Raw genomic sequence first — 18,348 nt, 5'->3', positions numbered from 1 at the left:
TGCCCTGCTGTCCATCCTCTGCCCTACCCTTGTGTACATGACCCTCTTGGGGCTATTTTTGTGCCCAGCTCTGTGTGTCCTTGTTATATGGAACCCTTGTCTGTTTTCCATTGGATGACACTTGAGGACTTGAATCAAGCCTGCCAGCCAGGGTGACCTGGAGTTTAGAAGGCAAGGTGATGCTTAATTCATAAGTGAGTTAGGACCTCAATTCAAAAAATTAGGGTAAGTCACAAATTCCAGTACAACCCATAAATGGAGAATCATGCCATGTAAGTAGTGTGGGTCACTTCTGAGGGAATCAGAAAGAAGAGGTGAACAAACCTAGCAGGTCCATGAACTTGGATGTCCTGCAGCAGGATCACTGCCCCTCAGTCTTACCCTGAAGGTTCCGGAAGCCAAGAGAGAAGCCAACAGACCACTGTGGACAATGGCGTCGAATGTGATCAGAATGCCTGAGACCCTTCTGCCTCGCTCACTTTCTCCCTGTCCTCCCTCAGCAATGCCCCCTCAGATCATCCAGTTCCCTGAGGACCAGAAGGTACGCGCAGGAGAGTCAGTGGAGCTGTTTGGCAAAGTGACAGGCACTCAGCCCATCACCTGTACCTGGATGAAGTTCCGAAAGCAGGTCAGTGACGGTATGGGGTGGGCACTGGGGGTGCTGGGAATAATCCGTACAGCCTTTGGACCGAAAGGGATGAGAAATGCCGTGCTGGAGATGGCCTCACTCTTCGTAGCTTTAGAAATGGGAGAGGCCACTCCCCTACCCATCGCTCACCTGCCAAACCTGAGTTCTTGTTAACCTTTGCTTCTGAATCTACCAATAATCCCCGCCTTTGTAGACAATTTGTGTAATAGAAGTGTGAGGGGAAAAGTAGAAACCATCCATGTCCCTCATCTGGTTTGATAGCACAGTCTAGAATCCTATTCAGAGTCAGGAAAGTCGAGCCTGTGACCCAAGATGACCCTTAGACTCCATGAGCTTGCTGTGATTCTGTGCCAGCCCACTGATTCCTGTCTGTTATAACCACTTAAACTTGCCACATGCTGAAGGGACAAAAGCAAATGTGAGTATTTGGATAGAAGAATTGTATGATAAATAGAATTGTGTCTGACTGACCCAGAAATCTAGCTACAATTTATCATAATGGTTCCTATGGAACAATGTTTGAATTTCTAGACAACCAGCATTGAAAGGACTTGGGGAGCCCAGCAGCTCCACCAATCCACGGTGGTAGTGTGTGCCTGTATGCATGATCAGCAGAGACCCTGGAATGATGGGTTGGCACAGGAGTGGGAAGTTGTGAAGATTTATTCTGAGCCCTCTGTTACTCTGTTTTAAAATCACTCAAATTCTCCTAGCCCCAGAGATGAACACTTAGTACTAACAGGGAGGAAAGTAGGGTTGGTCTCAAAAGATGGAAATGAGAAGTTTGCCTTTAGCATCCCAGAGCATGTTTGCCCTGAGCGACATCTGGACTACTGTTGTCTGAAATAAGATGGAATCTCATCACTTTTCAGAGACATTTAGCCAAGTCCCAGCTCTGTCCTTCAGAACTTTCTGCCCTGATGAAAGTGTTATCTCTGTGCTATCCAATATGGCAGCCACCAGCCATATACATGGGGCTATTGAGCACTTGAAATGTGGCTAGTGCAACTGAGGAACTGAATATTTAATTTTAATTAATTAAAAATTGTTATAGCAGCTTTGTTAAGATATAATTCATATGCCATAAAATTCACCCTCTTGAAGTGTACACTTCAGTGGTTTTCAGTAGATTCACAAGGTTGTGCAAGCATCACCATTATCTAATTCTAGAATACTTTCATCATCCCAGTAAGAAACCCCAGACCCATTAGCAGACATTCCTCTCCTTCCCCCAGGCCCTGACAACCACTCATCTACTCTCAGTATTTATGGATTTGCATATTCTGGACATTTCATATCAATGGAATCATACAGTATGTCATTCTCTCTGTGTAGCTTTCTCTTTTTTTGACTTAGCATACTCTTTTCAGGGCTCATTCTTATTGTAACATGAATCAGTACTTCATTCCTTTCAATGAATTAATAATAAATATTCCATTGTCAGGATAGACCATATTTTGTTTATTTGTTCATCAGTTGATGGACATCTGGGTTGTTTCCACTTAACTAATTAAAATTTAAATAGCCACATGTGACTAGTGGCTACAGCATTGGACAGCACAGAAGAGGCTAGAACCCACTGGAGTGGATCTTGTGAATGACTTTGCTGAGATGTGTTCTCCTATCATCCCATTCCAGAGAGGTAGAGGGAGACCAGGATATTTCTGGGAGCAGTGAGTGCTCAGCTAGTTCATCCATCCATCCTGCCCCTGCTCCACACCCTCCCTGCCCACCCCAGACCTGGCACCCTCAGGGAAGCTGGACTCTGGATGTAGGAGAGAAGGGGCCTCAGGGAGAAGGGCAGAGTCCAGACCAGACTGAGCCCCCCCACAGCTTGTCCAGCTGCATCCTTCAGGAAGTAGGGAATGGGGAGGAGCCCCCTTCCTTTCCTAGCCCAGGGGCCCAAGGCTCCAGCACCTGCTCCATCCTCCGCCCCTAGATCCAGGAAAGCGAGCACATGAAGGTGGAGAACAGCGAGAATGGCAGCAAGCTCACCATCCTGGCCGCGCGCCAGGAGCACTGCGGCTGCTACACACTGCTGGTGGAGAACAAGCTGGGCAGCAGGCAGGCCCAGGTCAACCTCACTGTCGTGGGTGAGTCTGGTGGCTGGGTGGCATGGAGCTTGGGGCAAGGGGAAGGCAGGGAGCCCCCAGGCAAGATACGTGGGCCTCAGGACTTCATCACCCATTATCTCTCACCACTCCTGTGCCTGATTTATAAGGCACCACAGAAAGAAGATCACGGCAACCCACAGACTCCCTGCTAGACCCTGCTGACCTCCAGGCTCAGCAGAGGGGCCAAGGCTGGGCAGAAATCCTTTTCCCTGTCTCTATCAACACCTCTCTGTGATAGCTGTTCCTGGAGTTCCCCGCCCTCAGGCCTTGGCATCTAGCTTATTTGAGAAATAAGAGACATGAGGCATAAACTTGGTCAACTTCTTGGCCCCTACGCCACAGGTGTCTGTATCTGTCCCCATCCTGACTCCACCCTCCAGGCTCTGGGGATGGCCCACCTTGGTCCCACCAAAGGCTGCTCCCTTCTCCTGTGCTCTGGACCCCAGGTCCTTGGGGGCTCCACCATCCCTACTTCTCTCTTCAACCTCTTCCTCTCTCCTGGCTCCTCCCAGCAGCCCGTAAGTGTCGCCATCTTAGCCAGATGCACAGGCATTAATAACTCCTGCAATGTTCTCTCTCACTCTAGCCACCCTACCTTCTCTCTCTGACAGGGGTGAGTCTCTACTGCACTTCCGCTTCTTCACCCCCCAGCACCCTCCAGCTGCCTATGGCCTCACCCCCACGCCCCATTAGTCTGCAGGGACTGTTCTTCTGAGGTCACCATGACCTCCCAATCCTGACTCCACTCGATTTTCCTTACCTTCATACCAGGATTTCCTTCATCCCAGGATTGAGTGGGGTCTGTCTCCAGACTGATTCTCAAGTTCACTTTTCCTCTCCTCCCTTAACACTGTCTTCGTGCCCTGGTCAGCTCTCTCCTGGAGCATCAAGAGAGTTTTCTAACCAGTCTCCCGCTGTTGTCATGTTCTGCTCCAGTTGTTCCCCGTGTGGCAGGTGCTTGGGACAGCAGAAGAATGAGCAGGCAGAGGAGCAGACAGAGAGAGAGAGTAGACTCTATGCCTCATGCATTTGTGGGCCTTCATATGTTGTGCATGTGAAAGCCTTTGACCTGGCATTTATTGATATGTGCACGAGACCCGAGCGGGTTTTCCATTTGTCCTTGGCTTTCAAGCTTATAGGGTACATTTGTGAAAATTAGAAAAAGGGGCCTTGCTGGGCAGAGTGAAAAGGGTACAGCACCCCCAGCCTCACCCCAGAACTCATGACCTGGCCTTGGGGAGGACAGGTTGGCCCAGATGCCCCCACTAGACCCCTTTTATGCAGTGCACAAAACTCTCAGCTGTGTGTGCTGATCCCAACCTTAACTTCCTGCAAACTAGCCTTTCCTGTGTGTTCCTGGTGCACACACACGTGGGCACACAGAACAAAAGGATCTGTTGGTAACAGGGCTTGTGTGGCTACCGTGGTTAGAAGTCTTCCACTGGAATCTCTCTTATGGAAGTATCTAGATATGAAGTTAGAAGTTGTAGACATTGACTCTTAAGGTCTCTTGTAGCTCTGACATTCTATGATTCCCCAACTCTATTCTCTGACATTCTGATTCCTCGACTCTATTCTCTGACATTCTATGGTTCCTCACCTCTGTTCTCTGGTGGTCTGTGATTCCTTGACTTTGTTCTCTGACATTCTGTGATTCCCTGACTTAGTTCTCAAGCAGTTTTTCTCCCCTATCTTCATCTCGTATCATCACCTTAGGACTAGGATGGACAGGACTGATGTTTCCAGCCTTATGCAGGAGAAACTGAGGCCTAATCTGAACAAAGTAACATAGTGCATCAGAGGCTAAGTGGGAACTAGCTCTAAACTTTCAAACACTTGTCCTCCAGTGCCACTCATGGGAGTGTGAAGTAGGTACAGAATGTCCCAAAAGGTAAAGGAACACTCTGGCTGCAAAACTCATCTTGAGGGGAGACATGCAAGCCTTTTGGGGAGCTGTCCACATGCCAGAGAGTTGTTGATGTCTGTGCCTCCATTTTTCTCATGCTGAGCCTTAGGAAGCCCTGTAGCACTTCCCTTCAGCCCCTAAGCAGCTGGGGAAGAAGAAGTCCTTGTCCAACCAGGTGAATAAGGAAGACACGAGGATAAAGGTCAAAGTAATACAGAGCTGGGAAGACAAATGAGGTGGCCAGTGAGCTATGCCCATGCCAGCTACCAGAACAGACCACAGGTTCCACACCCTGGCCCGACTCCCCAGAGAGGAAGTACTGCAAAGCCCCCTGGAAGATTGTCCCTGGACACAGGGGACCCGGGAGAGGGAATTCACAGAGGACTGAGCTCCAGCATCCACTCCCCACCCCCAGTTGTCCATATTTCTGTTTACCTTCTCTCTTGCTCTGTTCCTCTCCCTGGCCTTGTTTCTTTACCCTGTGTTCTGTTTCAGCCATTTCTCAGTGTCCGTCACCCTGTCCCATGTCCCCTCTTTTCCCTTTGTCTTCCTTCCTCTGACCCTGTTCTTTTGTTTCTTTTGGTTAGAAGTTTCAGATCGGGGAAGACTGGTGTACAAAGGGGTCAGGGAATGGGTTTTTCATTTCTAAAGGAGAAGAACAACCCTTTTCTCACTCTGTCTCTTTTTGGTGACTCCAGGTGTTTATTTGAATAATTTCCTCCCAAGGAGTCAGGAACCTGTGGAGGCTTGGTGCTAGTGATCCACTTTACTGGTACATTTAGATCTGTTCTGAAGCACTGATTTGGCCCTGTACTCCCGTCCTATCAGCAAGCATCAGTTTAAACTTTTCTTTGATGTTCTCTCTCATCTGCTCCTCCTTAAGCAACTTTGGGGTCAGCTTCTTTGAACTGCTTTTCTACAGAAAAGCTCTCCCTCCCCCCAGCCCCCACGATGCCCAGCTCCTGCGCAGTGCCACGCACTCCCCTCCTCCGATCACCACTACGCGGGCTGCAGTTCTGGCCTTTTATGGTTTAGTTTCTTATTCTCTGCAGCCAGTGCTGACAGGGCCATTGGCGTGGCTGTCTGCCAGCTGGCAGGAGCAGCATGTTAAATGCCGTCCTGGGAGGGGAATGGAATGGAGGAGAACCGAGGCTTTCTGTCTGCCTCCCCCTCAAAGAACTAAGAATAGAATTGCTCAATAAAATAGGACTCACATTGATGGATACAGCAAAGCCACATTCATTCAGAGCCTGTACACTTAGAATTAGTTCAAAGTAAACCTGGATGAAGCTCAGATTTACCTGTGCATCTTCAGGGACATCTCTGTATTCCCTGATCAGGGTTTATTAAGCAGATGTAAAATGTACATGAGGTAAAACAGGAATCACTTGGTCTGCTCCGGACAGTTTTCATGCATTTACAGACCAGCTAAATAAGGCCAGTTTAATACAACTCCTCCTTGTTAGCAGCAAACTTCTCTTATTGTATATTCTTTAAAGGGCCACTTTCTTTTCAGATCCTCTCTGGCTCCTATTTTTCAAACAATAATAAAAACTAGCCTTTCCCTCTGTTAGCTTAAATGAGTGATATTTAGCTATTTTGGAGACTTATTATTATTATATTTTAAAAGGCAGCCCAGGAATTTGCAATGCTCAGAGCCTCTTCCTGCACATGCGCCCCTGGTCTTGGCCTGTGGGGAATAAGGGAGGGGACAGTGAGCAGCATACCCAGATGGATTCCTTAAGGTCACTCACCCAGCACGAGAAAAGCAGGTCTCTTTTCATATCTTTAAAGGAGAAAAACAAAGTAGAGAGAACCCCAAATACCCAATAATCCCCAAATACTAACTGAGTTTGGAGCTTGCATGATTTCCCATCTTAATGCTCAGCTCAGGCTTAAGCAAGATGCCTTCTTGAGCTCATTCTGCCTGATAGCCTGGAAAGTCTTGAGCCCTGGAGCGAGGGTCCAGAGGCTTTTTGGAATCTCCTTTTGGCTCTGCCACTGACTACTGGGTTTTCTTGATAAGCAAAATGCCTTAGCTGCTGAGGACCCATTTCCCAAGGGCTAGGATTATCCAGGTAGATGACATGTGGGGGCCCTTCCAGCAGCTGCTGAAGTCCCAGGGAAGGGACATCCAGGTGGGGCTAGGCATAGCCACTGGTCATCTTCAAATAAGCGAGGACCAAGAGACCTCAAGAGCAGTTACTCTAGTGGGAAGCTGTAGGACAGGATCCTCCATTTTCCTGGAAATTAGAACATTTGCTGAGGAGAAAATCCTGGAGCTGGTGCCACTGGAGACTCTTGTCTTAGACTGAGCTGAGTTTCCTATTCTGTTAGTCAAGCCTCCAGGGAGCCCTGGGAGAATTCAGAGGAAATGTGGAGTCTCCTTTGCCCAGAGATGCCCAGGGTCTCCCTCCCAGTCTGAGTGTGTCGCCGTGGAGGACAAGCTCACAGGAGCTCCCTGTTCTAAGGACATCTGTTCTTTTCTGAGAGTTTTCATCCCTTTACTAGTTCAGCCACTGCATGGGGCTCATAGCTTAGAAAGAACAGAAAGCATTAGGTGCAGCCCACAGCTCTAAAGGCAGGTGGAGGAGTGGGAGGCCTCCAATCTCCTAGGACTTCTGACTTGGGTCTTTTCTGAACTCCTTAATTTGGTAGCAAATTCCTTAAAAATGTTGGAGTTTTACTTGGAATTAAAGTCCCTCGCCCCAAATTTTGCATCTTCTCTTGTGTGACAAGTCTTACGTATCACATATGTCATGTATAGGTTCTCATTTTCAGCCAAGAGACATGTGTAACAGGGTAGGGTACAAATGGCACCTCTTCTGCAACACCCATTTCTCAGTTTTCTTTTCTTGACCAAAGCAGAAGGAAGATCAGTTGGCAGAGTGCATTCGTTTATAAGCCCACACAACTCCAACTGTGGCCAATCACATGGTCTCCAGGCAGTCTTCTCTGGGAGGAATAGTGGGTCTGTCTTCCATCCCTCTTCAGGTTTTTTTACTTCCTTAGCTGGGTCTTGAGAGGACTTGAACCACTTGTCTTTAAGAGAGTTTAGAGTAATAAACATCTTAGCCAAAACCAGAAATGTTTCAAAAAAGGCCAATATATCTCTCAGAACAAACAGTTTTTCTAAGAGAACATATTAAACAGCCAGTGAAAGTGCTTCCATCACAGGAGGCCTCTGGCATGACTGCCAGCACTGGGAAGTGGCTCTGTCACAATCCCAGAATCATTCCCAGGGCTTTGGTTATTGGGGTAGACAGTTTCTGGGCAGTGCATTCTGGGCTGGAATGTGGATCGGCAGGGCTGGGAGAGGGGACAAGAATGAATATGAGTATGAGTATATATACTCATATACACATGTATATACATGCAGATTTTTCTTCTCCATATACACAGGGTCATTTGCAGCCATTGCCTTTGGCCTTCCTGCCTTGCTGGAGGTGGGAGAGTAGCGGTCAAGTACTTTATCTATGTTTGCTTACTTGATGCTTGCAAAAACCCTAAGAGGTAGGAACATATTAGCACCATTCTCTGAATGAGAAAGCCAGGCAAACAAACCAGTTTCAAATTTGCTGGGGTTGACATAGCTTAAAAGCATGGTTTCAATTGCTAGTTTGTGAGGCTTCATGAAATCAAACAGCATTGGGGGAGATGAAGGGTTAATGAACACAACACAGATATCTGTAACTAACCAACCATCTGCAAAAACTAAATCTGAAAAATAGGAGAGTTTTGCTCAGATAAGCAACTAATAAAATCAGCAAAACTCAAGAGCCTCATTAAAGTATTGGCTACCATGATTTGACTTGAAGTTGGCAGTACTGCTAGTTCTGAGGCCAGGTCATCTGAATGAGAAGGCAGCCAGCCAAAAGGGCCACTTCTTATTTGTGTCCTCAGCTCATTTTCTGTCCATTAGTCAGGGATGGCTGTGATTTGCTATTGTGGTTTGCTTTTGAAATTATTTATATCTCAACAGCCCTCTGAGAATAAAAGAGGTAGGGTAGGAGTAATTTTTAAGTATATAAAGTTAGAAATAAACTCCTACAATAATCTTGATAGTAATGACTAGTCAAGCCAGCCACTCTTCTAAGAATTTCTTACAACCACCTGTGATACAAGTGCTGTTGTTATTCACATTTTACAGATGAGGAAACTGAGGCTCAGGGCAATTAACAGCTACTGTGTGGGGACAGATCTGTGTTCAAACTTGAATCTGTCTGACTTCAGAGCACAAACACTGTGCTATACCACCCCTTGGTGGGGCAGGCATTTCTCAAGACCCAGAGAAAGTGGAGGCAGACCCCTAGTTATGTCACAGGTCATTGGCCAAGGGCCTGAAGGACAGACACACACACTCATGCTGAACTCTCTCTCTCAAAACATGTTTTCGATAGGAAATAGTCCACGCCTTCTGGGCAGCTTCCTAGATCTGTTTACTCTGACAAATATGTTTATGACTTGGGCAAAGTACAGGAAATCGTGACTTGCATGTAGACTGGAAAACTAGCAAAAAAAAGCGAGGGGGCCTTTTTTGGAGCAAATAATTATACATGGGGCTTTCCGTACAGGTGGGTTTGTACATAGCTCTAACTGTGATGTGCGGATGAGGGAAAGAGACGCAGGACCAGGGACTTTGGATTGGGTTCTCTAGGCTGCCTTCCCCCCATGACACAGGTAATTCAAAAACTTCCTTTGCCTGCAATTCTGGAAAGTGTGGGTGATGTTGTGCTTCTTTATCCCCAGATAAGCCAGACCCCCCAGCTGGCACACCTTGTGCCTCTGACATTCGGAGCTCCTCACTGACCCTGTCCTGGTATGGCTCCTCATATGATGGGGGCAGTGCTGTACAGTCCTACAGCATCGAGATCTGGGACTCAGCCAACAAGACGTGGAAGGAACTAGCCACATGCCGCAGCACCTCTTTCAACGTCCAGGACCTGCTGCCTGACCACGAATATAAGTTCCGTGTACGTGCAATCAACGTGTATGGAACCAGTGAGCCAAGCCAGGAGTCTGAACTCACAACGGTAGGAGAGAAACCTGAAGGTAGGCTGCCATCACTTCATCAGTGGCTTGAAACAAATGTGCGTGACTGACCTTGTGTATGTAAAGACTGTACTGAAAGGGGTGAAAAGGAACTGAGGAAACATTAATGATGACTGGCAGGGTCTTTTGGGGTCTTGGTTTCCAAGACAGTGATGTTGAGCCATTCTTCAAAAAAAGTATTAATACTTAGGACATTTCAAAAAACATTGAACCAGCAATTTTGGCATGCTGCCACCAGGGGGTGATGGTATGTTACTCAGGAGCATAGGAGTTCAAGCGGCCTCATGTTCCTCTTCCACCCTCCACCCCTTCTCTTCTCCTCTTGTATCCATATTTGAGTGTCTACTTGGTGTCAGATTCTTGGAACACAAAGATAAGACATGGAGCTTAAAATCTAGAGGAAGAGAGGTGTGTATGGCTAACTATAATGAGAAGGGATGCATCCTATTATAGCTGGGTAAAAAAAGAACCAAGGGGACATAACAAAATGCATGGAGCATTTTTCCATGGAGACCAAGGAAGGCTTTCTGGAGAAGGTGACACTTAGTCTGAGTCTTGGAAAAAGGGATAGGATTCTAAAAGGCAGGGAAGATAAGGAAAGGCACTCTACAAGAGGAAACAGCATGAGCAAAGGTTACAAAGCCATGGCAGTGTGTGACATTTTCAGATGCTCGTGTGTGGCCAAGGCATATGTTGTGTGAGACAGAACAGGAGGAAGTAAGACTAAAAGGGCATTTTAGGTAAAGTTGTGAAGTTCATCAAAGATTCTCAGGCAGGGGATCGAGACGATTAGAGCTGGTTTTCAGAGAACTAGGGAAAAAGCAGGGATTTGCTATTCACAGTGCAGTTGTGGACCAGCAGCCTTGGCATCCTGGGAGCTTCTTAGCAAGCAGACTCCCCCAGGCCCTTCTGGGCCTTGACTGAAAATGATCCACTCCTTGGGGATTCAGATGCACACGAACATTTGAGAAGCACTGGAGTGGTGGGTGGGTCAGAGGAGATGAGACTGCAGTCAGCCATATCAGATGGGCCTCTGGGATGACAGTCCAGGGGAGGGATGGAAAGGGCACGAACTTCAAGCCTCAGGAGGTAGAAGTGACCATACTTGATGACTTTTTGCATAGTGAGTTGAGGAAGAGAACTGGAAGATTCTAAGATGACTTACAGTTCCTGGCTGGGGTAACTGAACACAAATTCAAGAGCCAGCTAGAGGTTTATTGTTATAATTCACCATGGCTAACATGTATTGAGCACTTACTCTAAGCTTACGATGTGTTAATCACTTTATATGCATCATTTCATCCAATCCCAATAGCCCAATGAAGCAGATACTGTTATTACCCTCATTTTACAGATAGGAGAAATGAGATTTAGAGGGGAGAAGCTACTTGCCCAAAGTCACAGAGCTTGTAATTGGTGAACTGATGCTTGAACTCAGAGCTGTCTGGCCTGAAGCTTGTGCTCCTTTGGTTAGACTGAGGGAAGAGGTCAGGCTGTCTTCCAGGTTCCTGACTTGAGTAACTTGGAGGTTACATAACAGTCTGGGAGGAGAGGGGAGCTGCGGTTTCAGCCCTGCTGAGTTGAGGCATCTAAGGGCTAGCCGAGGGAAGGTATCCTAAGACTGTTGGGTCTAGAGCCCAGGAGAAAGGTTTAAGCTAGTGTGGCAGGCTTGGAAGTCTTCACTATTTAATTAATAATTGCAACCATGGGCATTGATAAGGTTACAGAGAGTGTGGTAGAGAAAGTCAATACCAACACCATAAAGAAGGAACTTGCAGTACCAGGAGAAAGGACTGAGAGGGGAGAGAACCAAGAGGAGGCTGGAGTCTCAAAGAAACAGGGGAGGGAGAAGGTGCAAAGAGGGCTTCATAAACTGCATCCAATGCTAAATAAAAATGAAGGAGATGAGGACTCAGAGGGTCTTTGGATTTAGTCCTTTGGTTGGTAGTGATCTTTGTGATCCAAGTCTGTAGAGTTTCCACTGAGTGAAAAGATGGTTGCCCTGGTTAAGGAATAAATGGAAGAAAGAGAGGCCAGAAGCATGGAATATTATTTCAAGAAGTTTTATGTGAAGAACAGGAAAAGGACATTGTAAATTTAGGATAAGAGGCCGGGCGTGGTGGCTCACACCTGTAATCCCAGCAATTTGGGAGGCTGAAGCGGGTGGATCGCCTGAGCTCAGGAGTTCAAGAGTAGCCTGGGCAACATGGCAAAACCCCATCTCTACTAAAAGTACAAAAAATTAGCTGGGCATGGTGGCATGCGCCTGTGGTCCCAGCTACTCAGGAGGTTGAGGCAGGAGGATCGCTTGAACCCAGGAGGCAGAGGTTGTAGTGAGCCAAGATTGCACCACTGAACTCCAGCCTGGGTGACACAGTGAGACTCCGTCTCAAAAAAAAAAAAAAAAAAAAAGAATTAAAGAATATAGGATAAGAAAAAGTTGGGGGTTAGGAGAAGGTGGAGGGACATCAAGGGAAGAGAGCTCTTGGAGACAGGAGAATGTAGAGTTGTGAGGCAGATGGTAGAAGACTCAAGTATCAAAGGAGACTGAGCTCCACATGCAGAATGTCACTTGAAAACCAAAACTGATCAGTAGGTGAGAATGTATTTGACTTCTTCTAATTACAAGGAATTAGAAATCAAGTGAGGCAAATAGTGAACCTGAGCAAAGCTCAGAAAGCGAGAAAGCGAGCAGGCCTGGCATCACCAGGGAGCTAGAGCCATCGTGAGTATGGAAACTGTCATCTGATTCAATGACCCTGTTTAGTTTTGAAAAAAAAATTGAAAATTAGGTACAAAATAGGTATTAAAATTTTACTTTCAATTAAACAAGGGCTCCAGAAAGAAAGAAAGTTAGGGTACCAATGGGAAACATACCAACTTTACAATTTTATGCTAGCAGCTGTGTGTCAGGCGGCCTTTACCCGTTGAGCCATGTCAATATGCATAGAGCAGGTCTCCTTGAGAGCTATGGTGCAAGTCACGGAGACGTGATGCCTGCTCCTGGGACAGCTTTCGCAGGGATCCCAACCACTAGCCACTCCCAAATGTCTGTCAGGGGACACTGAGTAACAAAACTGCCATCACTGTCTTCTTACACACACACACACACACACACACACACACACACACACACACAACATCCCTCTGAAATGAGCAGAGTGGGGGCTGCATAGAGTGTGGGTCCCAGGGGGGCAATCAAGTTCCAGTCTGTGGTGTTAGGATGTTACTTGGAAAAGTGACAGGAAAAGGAGTAAGATTGCAGTGTGAAGATGTTCATTGGCTGGAAAGGAAATCATCCAGGTCTGTGCTATGGTGTAAAGAGGGAGAGACTGGAGAATCCCCGACTAACCCCAGGCAGCAGGACCAGAGGCCACGGGAGCTACAAGGTGTGGCCCCCAGGGGTCTAGGACAGCTGCTCCCAGGGCTGTGTGGAGACTCTGCCAGGAGGAAGAGCTGTGACTGCCTGTCTGGGGCAAGTGGCCTCTCCCTTGTTCCCTGCCATCAGCCCGCTGAACCCTCTCTGGGCCTTCAGACTCCCCTCCCCTGCTGCCACCCCTCCCAGCTGGGAATAGACAAAGGGCAATGTTGAAATCACTTGAAATCCAGAGGAGGAGTCCAGTCCACCCAGGGCTTCCAGACAGGAAGCTACTCCCCAGCTGAGGCTGGCTGGATTACCAAGGGGGAGGAGGAAGAGGGCAGAACAGTTGGCAAGTGTTAGGCCTCAGGGCAGAGGACTCTGGTTGAGGGGATTCCAGGCAAAAGTCCTCCACGGTCTGCTCAGATGCTTGTTAGTTATAAAGCTTCATAGGCCATCCCTCTGCTGAAGAGGGAAATGGCTCTCAGGGAAGTGGCGTGTGTGTTCACGCACGTGTGTGTGTGTGTGTTGGCAGAGAGGTGGGATCAAGTGACAGGTCATTGTAGGTCATTTCTGTGGAGCAGATGGGGTGGGATCATATTAAAAAGGCAGTGCTGATTAACCCACACTCCATGAAGCCCGGCTAATGTTGGCTCTGACCTTCACCACTACCACCACAGCCACTGCCACTCCTGCCTCTCGCTCTTCTACTTCATTCTCATGCCTCATTTGCATCCCTGTTGGTACCCTAGCCCTCATCCCACATCCACTCACCATGTGTTCTGTGCCCCTCCTGTGTTCTAGGCACTGCCATGGGCACTGGGGATACACTGGGGGACAAAGCATGGGTTCCCCGTGGAGCTCCAGTGGCTTCTCTATGCCAGAGCCACTCCTAAGACTAGGGTCCCTGAACTGACAATGTACTCCCAAACCCAAGTGCACAGAGCCAGAACCTTACCACAGCCCCGCTCCCTCCCAGCCCAGCCAGGTCTTGAACTGTACTCCTCCTCAAATCCTGCTGTCACTCAAATCCACTCCATCCCTGCTCCTTACCCTAATTTGTTCTAGTCTGTATAATTGTTAGCAAAACAGCTACTGTGACTGAGGCTTCTTGCAGAACTGGAGCCTCCTTGCAACCCCCAGGACAGTTCGAGATATAAAGCCTGTACCGCTCCCATCCCAGGCTGCAGCTACGCCCTGGCCTCAGAGGCCGTCTCCGGGGCGGGGGTGCCCTCTAGTGTTCTCTGGGTGTGCAACAGTCCTTGGCTGCAGGAAGGGACAATTCTCTGTCCAGGGGACTGACTGGACTTGTGCCATGTGAGGGTCCTGAGCACTCAGCTGATCCTCTCCCAAACACTCCAGGGTAACGAGACTCTCATCTGTTTGCAGAAATATCTCAGAACCATCTTCCAAATAGCCTTCCACTTAGCTCATGGATCTCATAGCTCATTCTGAACAGATTTTTTTTTTTTTTAAGTTCAGTGGAAGACCCTTCCCTAGTGGAAAGATGGAAACCAGTTCACCTTTCTCAACAACCCTTTATGCACCAAGAGCTCTGCTAATTGAACTGTGGTCTTTCCTCTACTTCTCTCTCACTCCTCCCCTTGTGGTCAAATAGAAGAGAGGCAGGACAAGAAGGGAAAAGCAGAAGGGGATGTAGCAGCCTGGAATCTTTCTCTTTTTTAAAGAGATCGGGTCTCACTCTGTTGCACAGGCTGGATTTGAACTCCTAGACGCAAGCATTCCTCCCGCCTCAGCCTCCCGAATAGCTGGGACTACAGGCACTTGCCACTGCTCCCTGCTTAGTCCGGACTCTTGATCCGAGTTTCCTGCAGCATAAAGGAACACAGTGCACTAGAAAGAGGGGCTGGAATTCCTTGAGAATGATCTAGGTCCTTCCCCCAGAGCATTAGCATGAGAATCAGATCTGCCACAGACCTCTGGGGTGAGAGGCGAAGGTGAGGCATGGATGTGGGCTCATGAGTGAGGCCAGAGGCTGGCCCTGTGGCTGTCTACCTGGACTCACAGTGACAGGCAGGGGCCAGCTCTAGGACTGGATGCCCCCTTCAAGGCACGCAGGGAAAGCCTCCTGCTGCCGGGCCATTGGCAAGACTGCTTCTCCTGACACCAGGCCAGGAAAGCTGCCCTCTCCTTTCCCTCTCACTCTGCTGCTTGGAATACACTGGTCTCCATGCCACGCCGGGAAAATGTGGCACAGGAACAAGAAATAAAGGATGACTCAACTGGTGAACCACTATATCAGGCAGCAGCACCACAGGTCAAGACAGGGGCCTCCCTGACAGTAAATAGGATGATTCTGTGTCGAAGACCTAGTCCAGTGACTGGTCCACCTGGTGTCCCATCACTCATTGACTCCAATATTGTTGCTTCTCTTAAAACCCTGTTTATAATATCATCACTGAACTAACCTAAATGTCTATTGAACATACTTATTATTCTAGTGGTACTTCTCATGTGTGAGTTCCATATCCCTCCAGCCTTCCTCCTACGTGAGGTAGAACACTAAATGGTTCCCCCAAGATGCAGTAGTCATGAGTTGATGAAAAGTCTGAAACTCTCATCTCATCCTTGGCGATTGTGTGATTCTCTTTAAAGTCATGTCCATTTTAGACTTCTTTCCCAACCTCAGAGGCCTCACCTTTTCTGATTAAGACATAGCCCTTCCCTTCAGTGGTCTTGCTTGCCACCTCCAGCTCCATTGTGGCTTTTGGACTGCCGACAGCCAGAGCTCCAGGGCAGGCACCCAGGGCGCTCTCAACAGCTACCCAGTACTCACCCCTGTTTGGGGCCCATGCACACTTTGCCCTGTGACAGCATCTGACAGCCCAAGCAGTAGATTGAGGAGCTGCTGTTTCTGTCTTGGGTATTAACTATGGACTTTAGGGTTCACCACCCTAAAAGGTAGAATGATCAGATTCTCCTGAACACTAACTCCATTCCTGGCTTCTAGTTGCATTGCTCTCAGGTCATCCTTTCCACCTGTGAATTGGACAATGCCACTCTTAACTCTCCAACATGTGGATTTAGGAATATTGACCAGTTAGGCCCACATCCCGACAGTAACCGTGAAACCCACCTCTGATACTTCAGCTAGACTATCTGGGTGTCCCTGTCTATCTCATCCTTTTTTATTTTTCCATGGCAGCTTCCTTTCTGTGATAAAATATACTTTCCAATCCCATTCATGTTTAGTTTTAGTCTTTTTTTAAAAAAACTAAGCTTTGTCAGCAGCATTTTAAGAACTCTAAACACACTCACACTCACACTCACACCGGTACACCCGCACTCACACTCATATGCCCACTCTCTCTCACACACACACACATACACACACACTCACACTTTAAAAATCCTTTTCCTCCCTCTATGCTTTCTCTCCTGTCTTTGTTTTGCTTCCTTGGGAAACCTCCCATTCATTGTCCAGCTGTCAGCCAGGACGCAGCCCAGACGATGGCTGAGGAACACACAGCACATGACGAAGCGTGGCATCCAGAGCTAGCCAGGGCCAGAGACATCAGGTGCAACCCTTCCTCTTACAGATGGGGAAACCAAGGCCCAGGAAGGGAAAGGCAATCAGCCAAGGTCAGGAAGCCAGAGTGGCTCGATTGTCAACAAACAAACCTGTATCGAGGCAAAGGAAGGCCTGGAGCTCTGAAGTGGGCGTGCTGTGCTGGATGCCCCCCTGTTCCGGGGAACCCCTCCTGTTCCCCGGACCCTGTTCACTCCTGACACGGCCATGGGAGCAGCTGGCATGACTGTGTCCCTCCCTGCCCTGCCTCACAAATACCTATTGGTTTCATTTGTGTGACATCACTCACGCCTTCATTGTATTCCATCATTTCCTGTAAGACGCAACTCAAAGGCTATTTCTTCTAAGAATAATTGCTCTCACTTACAATTGCACCATTTTGTGTCACCCTCCTCTGTTGTGTATTCACTTTGAACCATGGTGATATGTGCGTGATTATGGTACACTTTGTAAATTGTTACTTCAAGTATATATGTTTTTGCCTCTTGAACTAAATTATAAGCTATAAGAAAGGAGAGACCATGCCTTCTGTGTAATATGTTTTGAATGCCCACAATAACTGGCATTCAAGATGCTTGGTCCAGTGCTGGGATGCCGTCAACAATGTTCAATGAATGGCTACATGGATTTGACACTAGAAGCAGTTATAAGTTGCTGACTTTTGAGCCAGGGCAGAAAGAGACTGTCACAGTTGTGTGTAGGTTCTGAAAGTCAGAAAGGGTTGGATGAGATGTGGAGAAGGGTATATCTGGGGACCATGAGGCTAGAGAGGATGGGACAGAGGGGAGACCTGGTGGAGAAGTGGAGCTGAGTGGAGGGAGGAGGCTGGCACCTGCCAGTCTGCACTGGGCCCTATTTGCTATATGGACTGACCAGCCCCAGGGGATGCCCAGAGCTCTGGACCTGGTAGTCGTCTGCCTGGGGAGGCTGAGGCCTGGCAGGGCCCCCAGCACATCTTGCTCTCAGTGGGCCTTCAGTACTAATCACCTGTGTCCTCTCTGTCCTTCCTTGTGCCCCCCCCAGAGCCGAAGGATGAAGTGGAGGTGTCAGATGATGGTGAGTGCAGCCCCTGTCTTCGGGTCAGGCTCTTGGGGTGGAGGGGGCTGAGTGGGGGCATCTGAGACTCACACCAACCCTGACCTGTGCCCCACAGATGAGAAGGAGCCCGAGGTTGATTACCGGACAGTGACAATCAATACTGAACAAAAAGTATCTGACTTCTACGACATTGAGGAGAGATTAGGATCGTAAGTGGAGTGGGAAGTTGCCTCTGGGCTCCCAGGGTGAGGGTGGTGCGGGTCTCACAGTTAGATTCAGTGCCTCAGCTTCCTGTTGCTCCCTGGGGCCTGCCTCCTCCCCAGACTGAGAGTCCTGCAGGATCCAAAGGACTGACCCACGAAAGCATCACTCACTCACCCAGGACTCTCTGCAGAGTTGCCCATGCGGTCCTACACTGCCCCAACTCTGCAAAGGCTGTGGGCAAGTCCTTCCTTTTCTGTGCCTCTGTTCAGAGCCCAGGACCAAAATGAGACACAGGGAGGGGAATAACACTCACTGGGGCCTGTCAGGGGAGAGCAGGGGGTGCGGGGAGCAGAACATTAGGGAGAAGAGCTAATGCATGCTGAGCTTAATACCTAGATGGTGGGGTGTTAGGTGCAGCAAACCACCATGGCACACGTTTACCTACGTAACGTACACATCCTGCACATGTACCCTGGA

The 18,348-nt window shown here is 48.3% G+C and overlaps 1 protein-coding gene and 1 long non-coding RNA gene across 21 annotated transcripts in view, besides 3 other annotated features; one reads left to right on the top strand and one right to left on the bottom strand.

Annotated features, from left to right (window-relative positions):
* MYLK (myosin light chain kinase) overlaps positions 1 to 18,348 on the top strand; it is a 274,284-nt gene that overhangs the window by 217,486 nt on the left and 38,450 nt on the right. For all 20 annotated transcript variants that reach the window (XM_047448184.1, XM_024453532.2, NM_001321309.2 and 17 more), the window contains 5 exons: positions 501 to 628; positions 2,589 to 2,742; positions 9,419 to 9,721; positions 17,653 to 17,685; positions 17,783 to 17,876. In XM_047448184.1, the coding sequence (XP_047304140.1) occupies positions 501 to 628; positions 2,589 to 2,742; positions 9,419 to 9,721; positions 17,653 to 17,685; positions 17,783 to 17,876 (712 nt within the window). The remainder of the gene's footprint in view (positions 1 to 500; positions 629 to 2,588; positions 2,743 to 9,418; positions 9,722 to 17,652; positions 17,686 to 17,782; positions 17,877 to 18,348) is intronic.
* On the bottom strand, positions 5,348 to 17,786 carry LOC124909421 (uncharacterized). The gene is made up of 2 exons (XR_007096038.1): positions 16,722 to 17,786; positions 5,348 to 7,978 (listed from the first exon to the last, which is right to left on the bottom strand). It is a non-coding gene; the product is annotated as an uncharacterized LOC124909421 (long non-coding RNA).
* Positions 12,635 to 13,135: an enhancer, noted in NCBI's record as "H3K4me1 hESC enhancer chr3:123372559-123373059 (GRCh37/hg19 assembly coordinates)". NCBI's record gives its function as "activates a minimal SCP1, AML or CMV promoter by ChIP-STARR-seq in primed H9 embryonic stem cells {active_cell/tissue: H9 hESC(primed)}" and the evidence as "EXISTENCE:reporter gene assay evidence [ECO:0000049][PMID:30033119]".
* Positions 16,264 to 16,763: an enhancer, noted in NCBI's record as "H3K4me1 hESC enhancer chr3:123368931-123369430 (GRCh37/hg19 assembly coordinates)". NCBI's record gives its function as "activates a minimal SCP1, AML or CMV promoter by ChIP-STARR-seq in primed H9 embryonic stem cells {active_cell/tissue: H9 hESC(primed)}" and the evidence as "EXISTENCE:reporter gene assay evidence [ECO:0000049][PMID:30033119]".
* Positions 16,764 to 17,265: an enhancer, noted in NCBI's record as "H3K4me1 hESC enhancer chr3:123368429-123368930 (GRCh37/hg19 assembly coordinates)". NCBI's record gives its function as "activates a minimal SCP1, AML or CMV promoter by ChIP-STARR-seq in primed H9 embryonic stem cells {active_cell/tissue: H9 hESC(primed)}" and the evidence as "EXISTENCE:reporter gene assay evidence [ECO:0000049][PMID:30033119]".

The sequence above is a fragment of the Homo sapiens genome, chromosome 3 (genome assembly GCF_000001405.40).
Source record: "Homo sapiens chromosome 3, GRCh38.p14 Primary Assembly".
Taxonomy (NCBI): domain Eukaryota; kingdom Metazoa; phylum Chordata; class Mammalia; order Primates; family Hominidae; genus Homo; species Homo sapiens.
The sequence above is the reverse complement of the archived record's forward strand: the minus strand, read 5'-3'. Positions and strand labels throughout refer to the sequence as shown.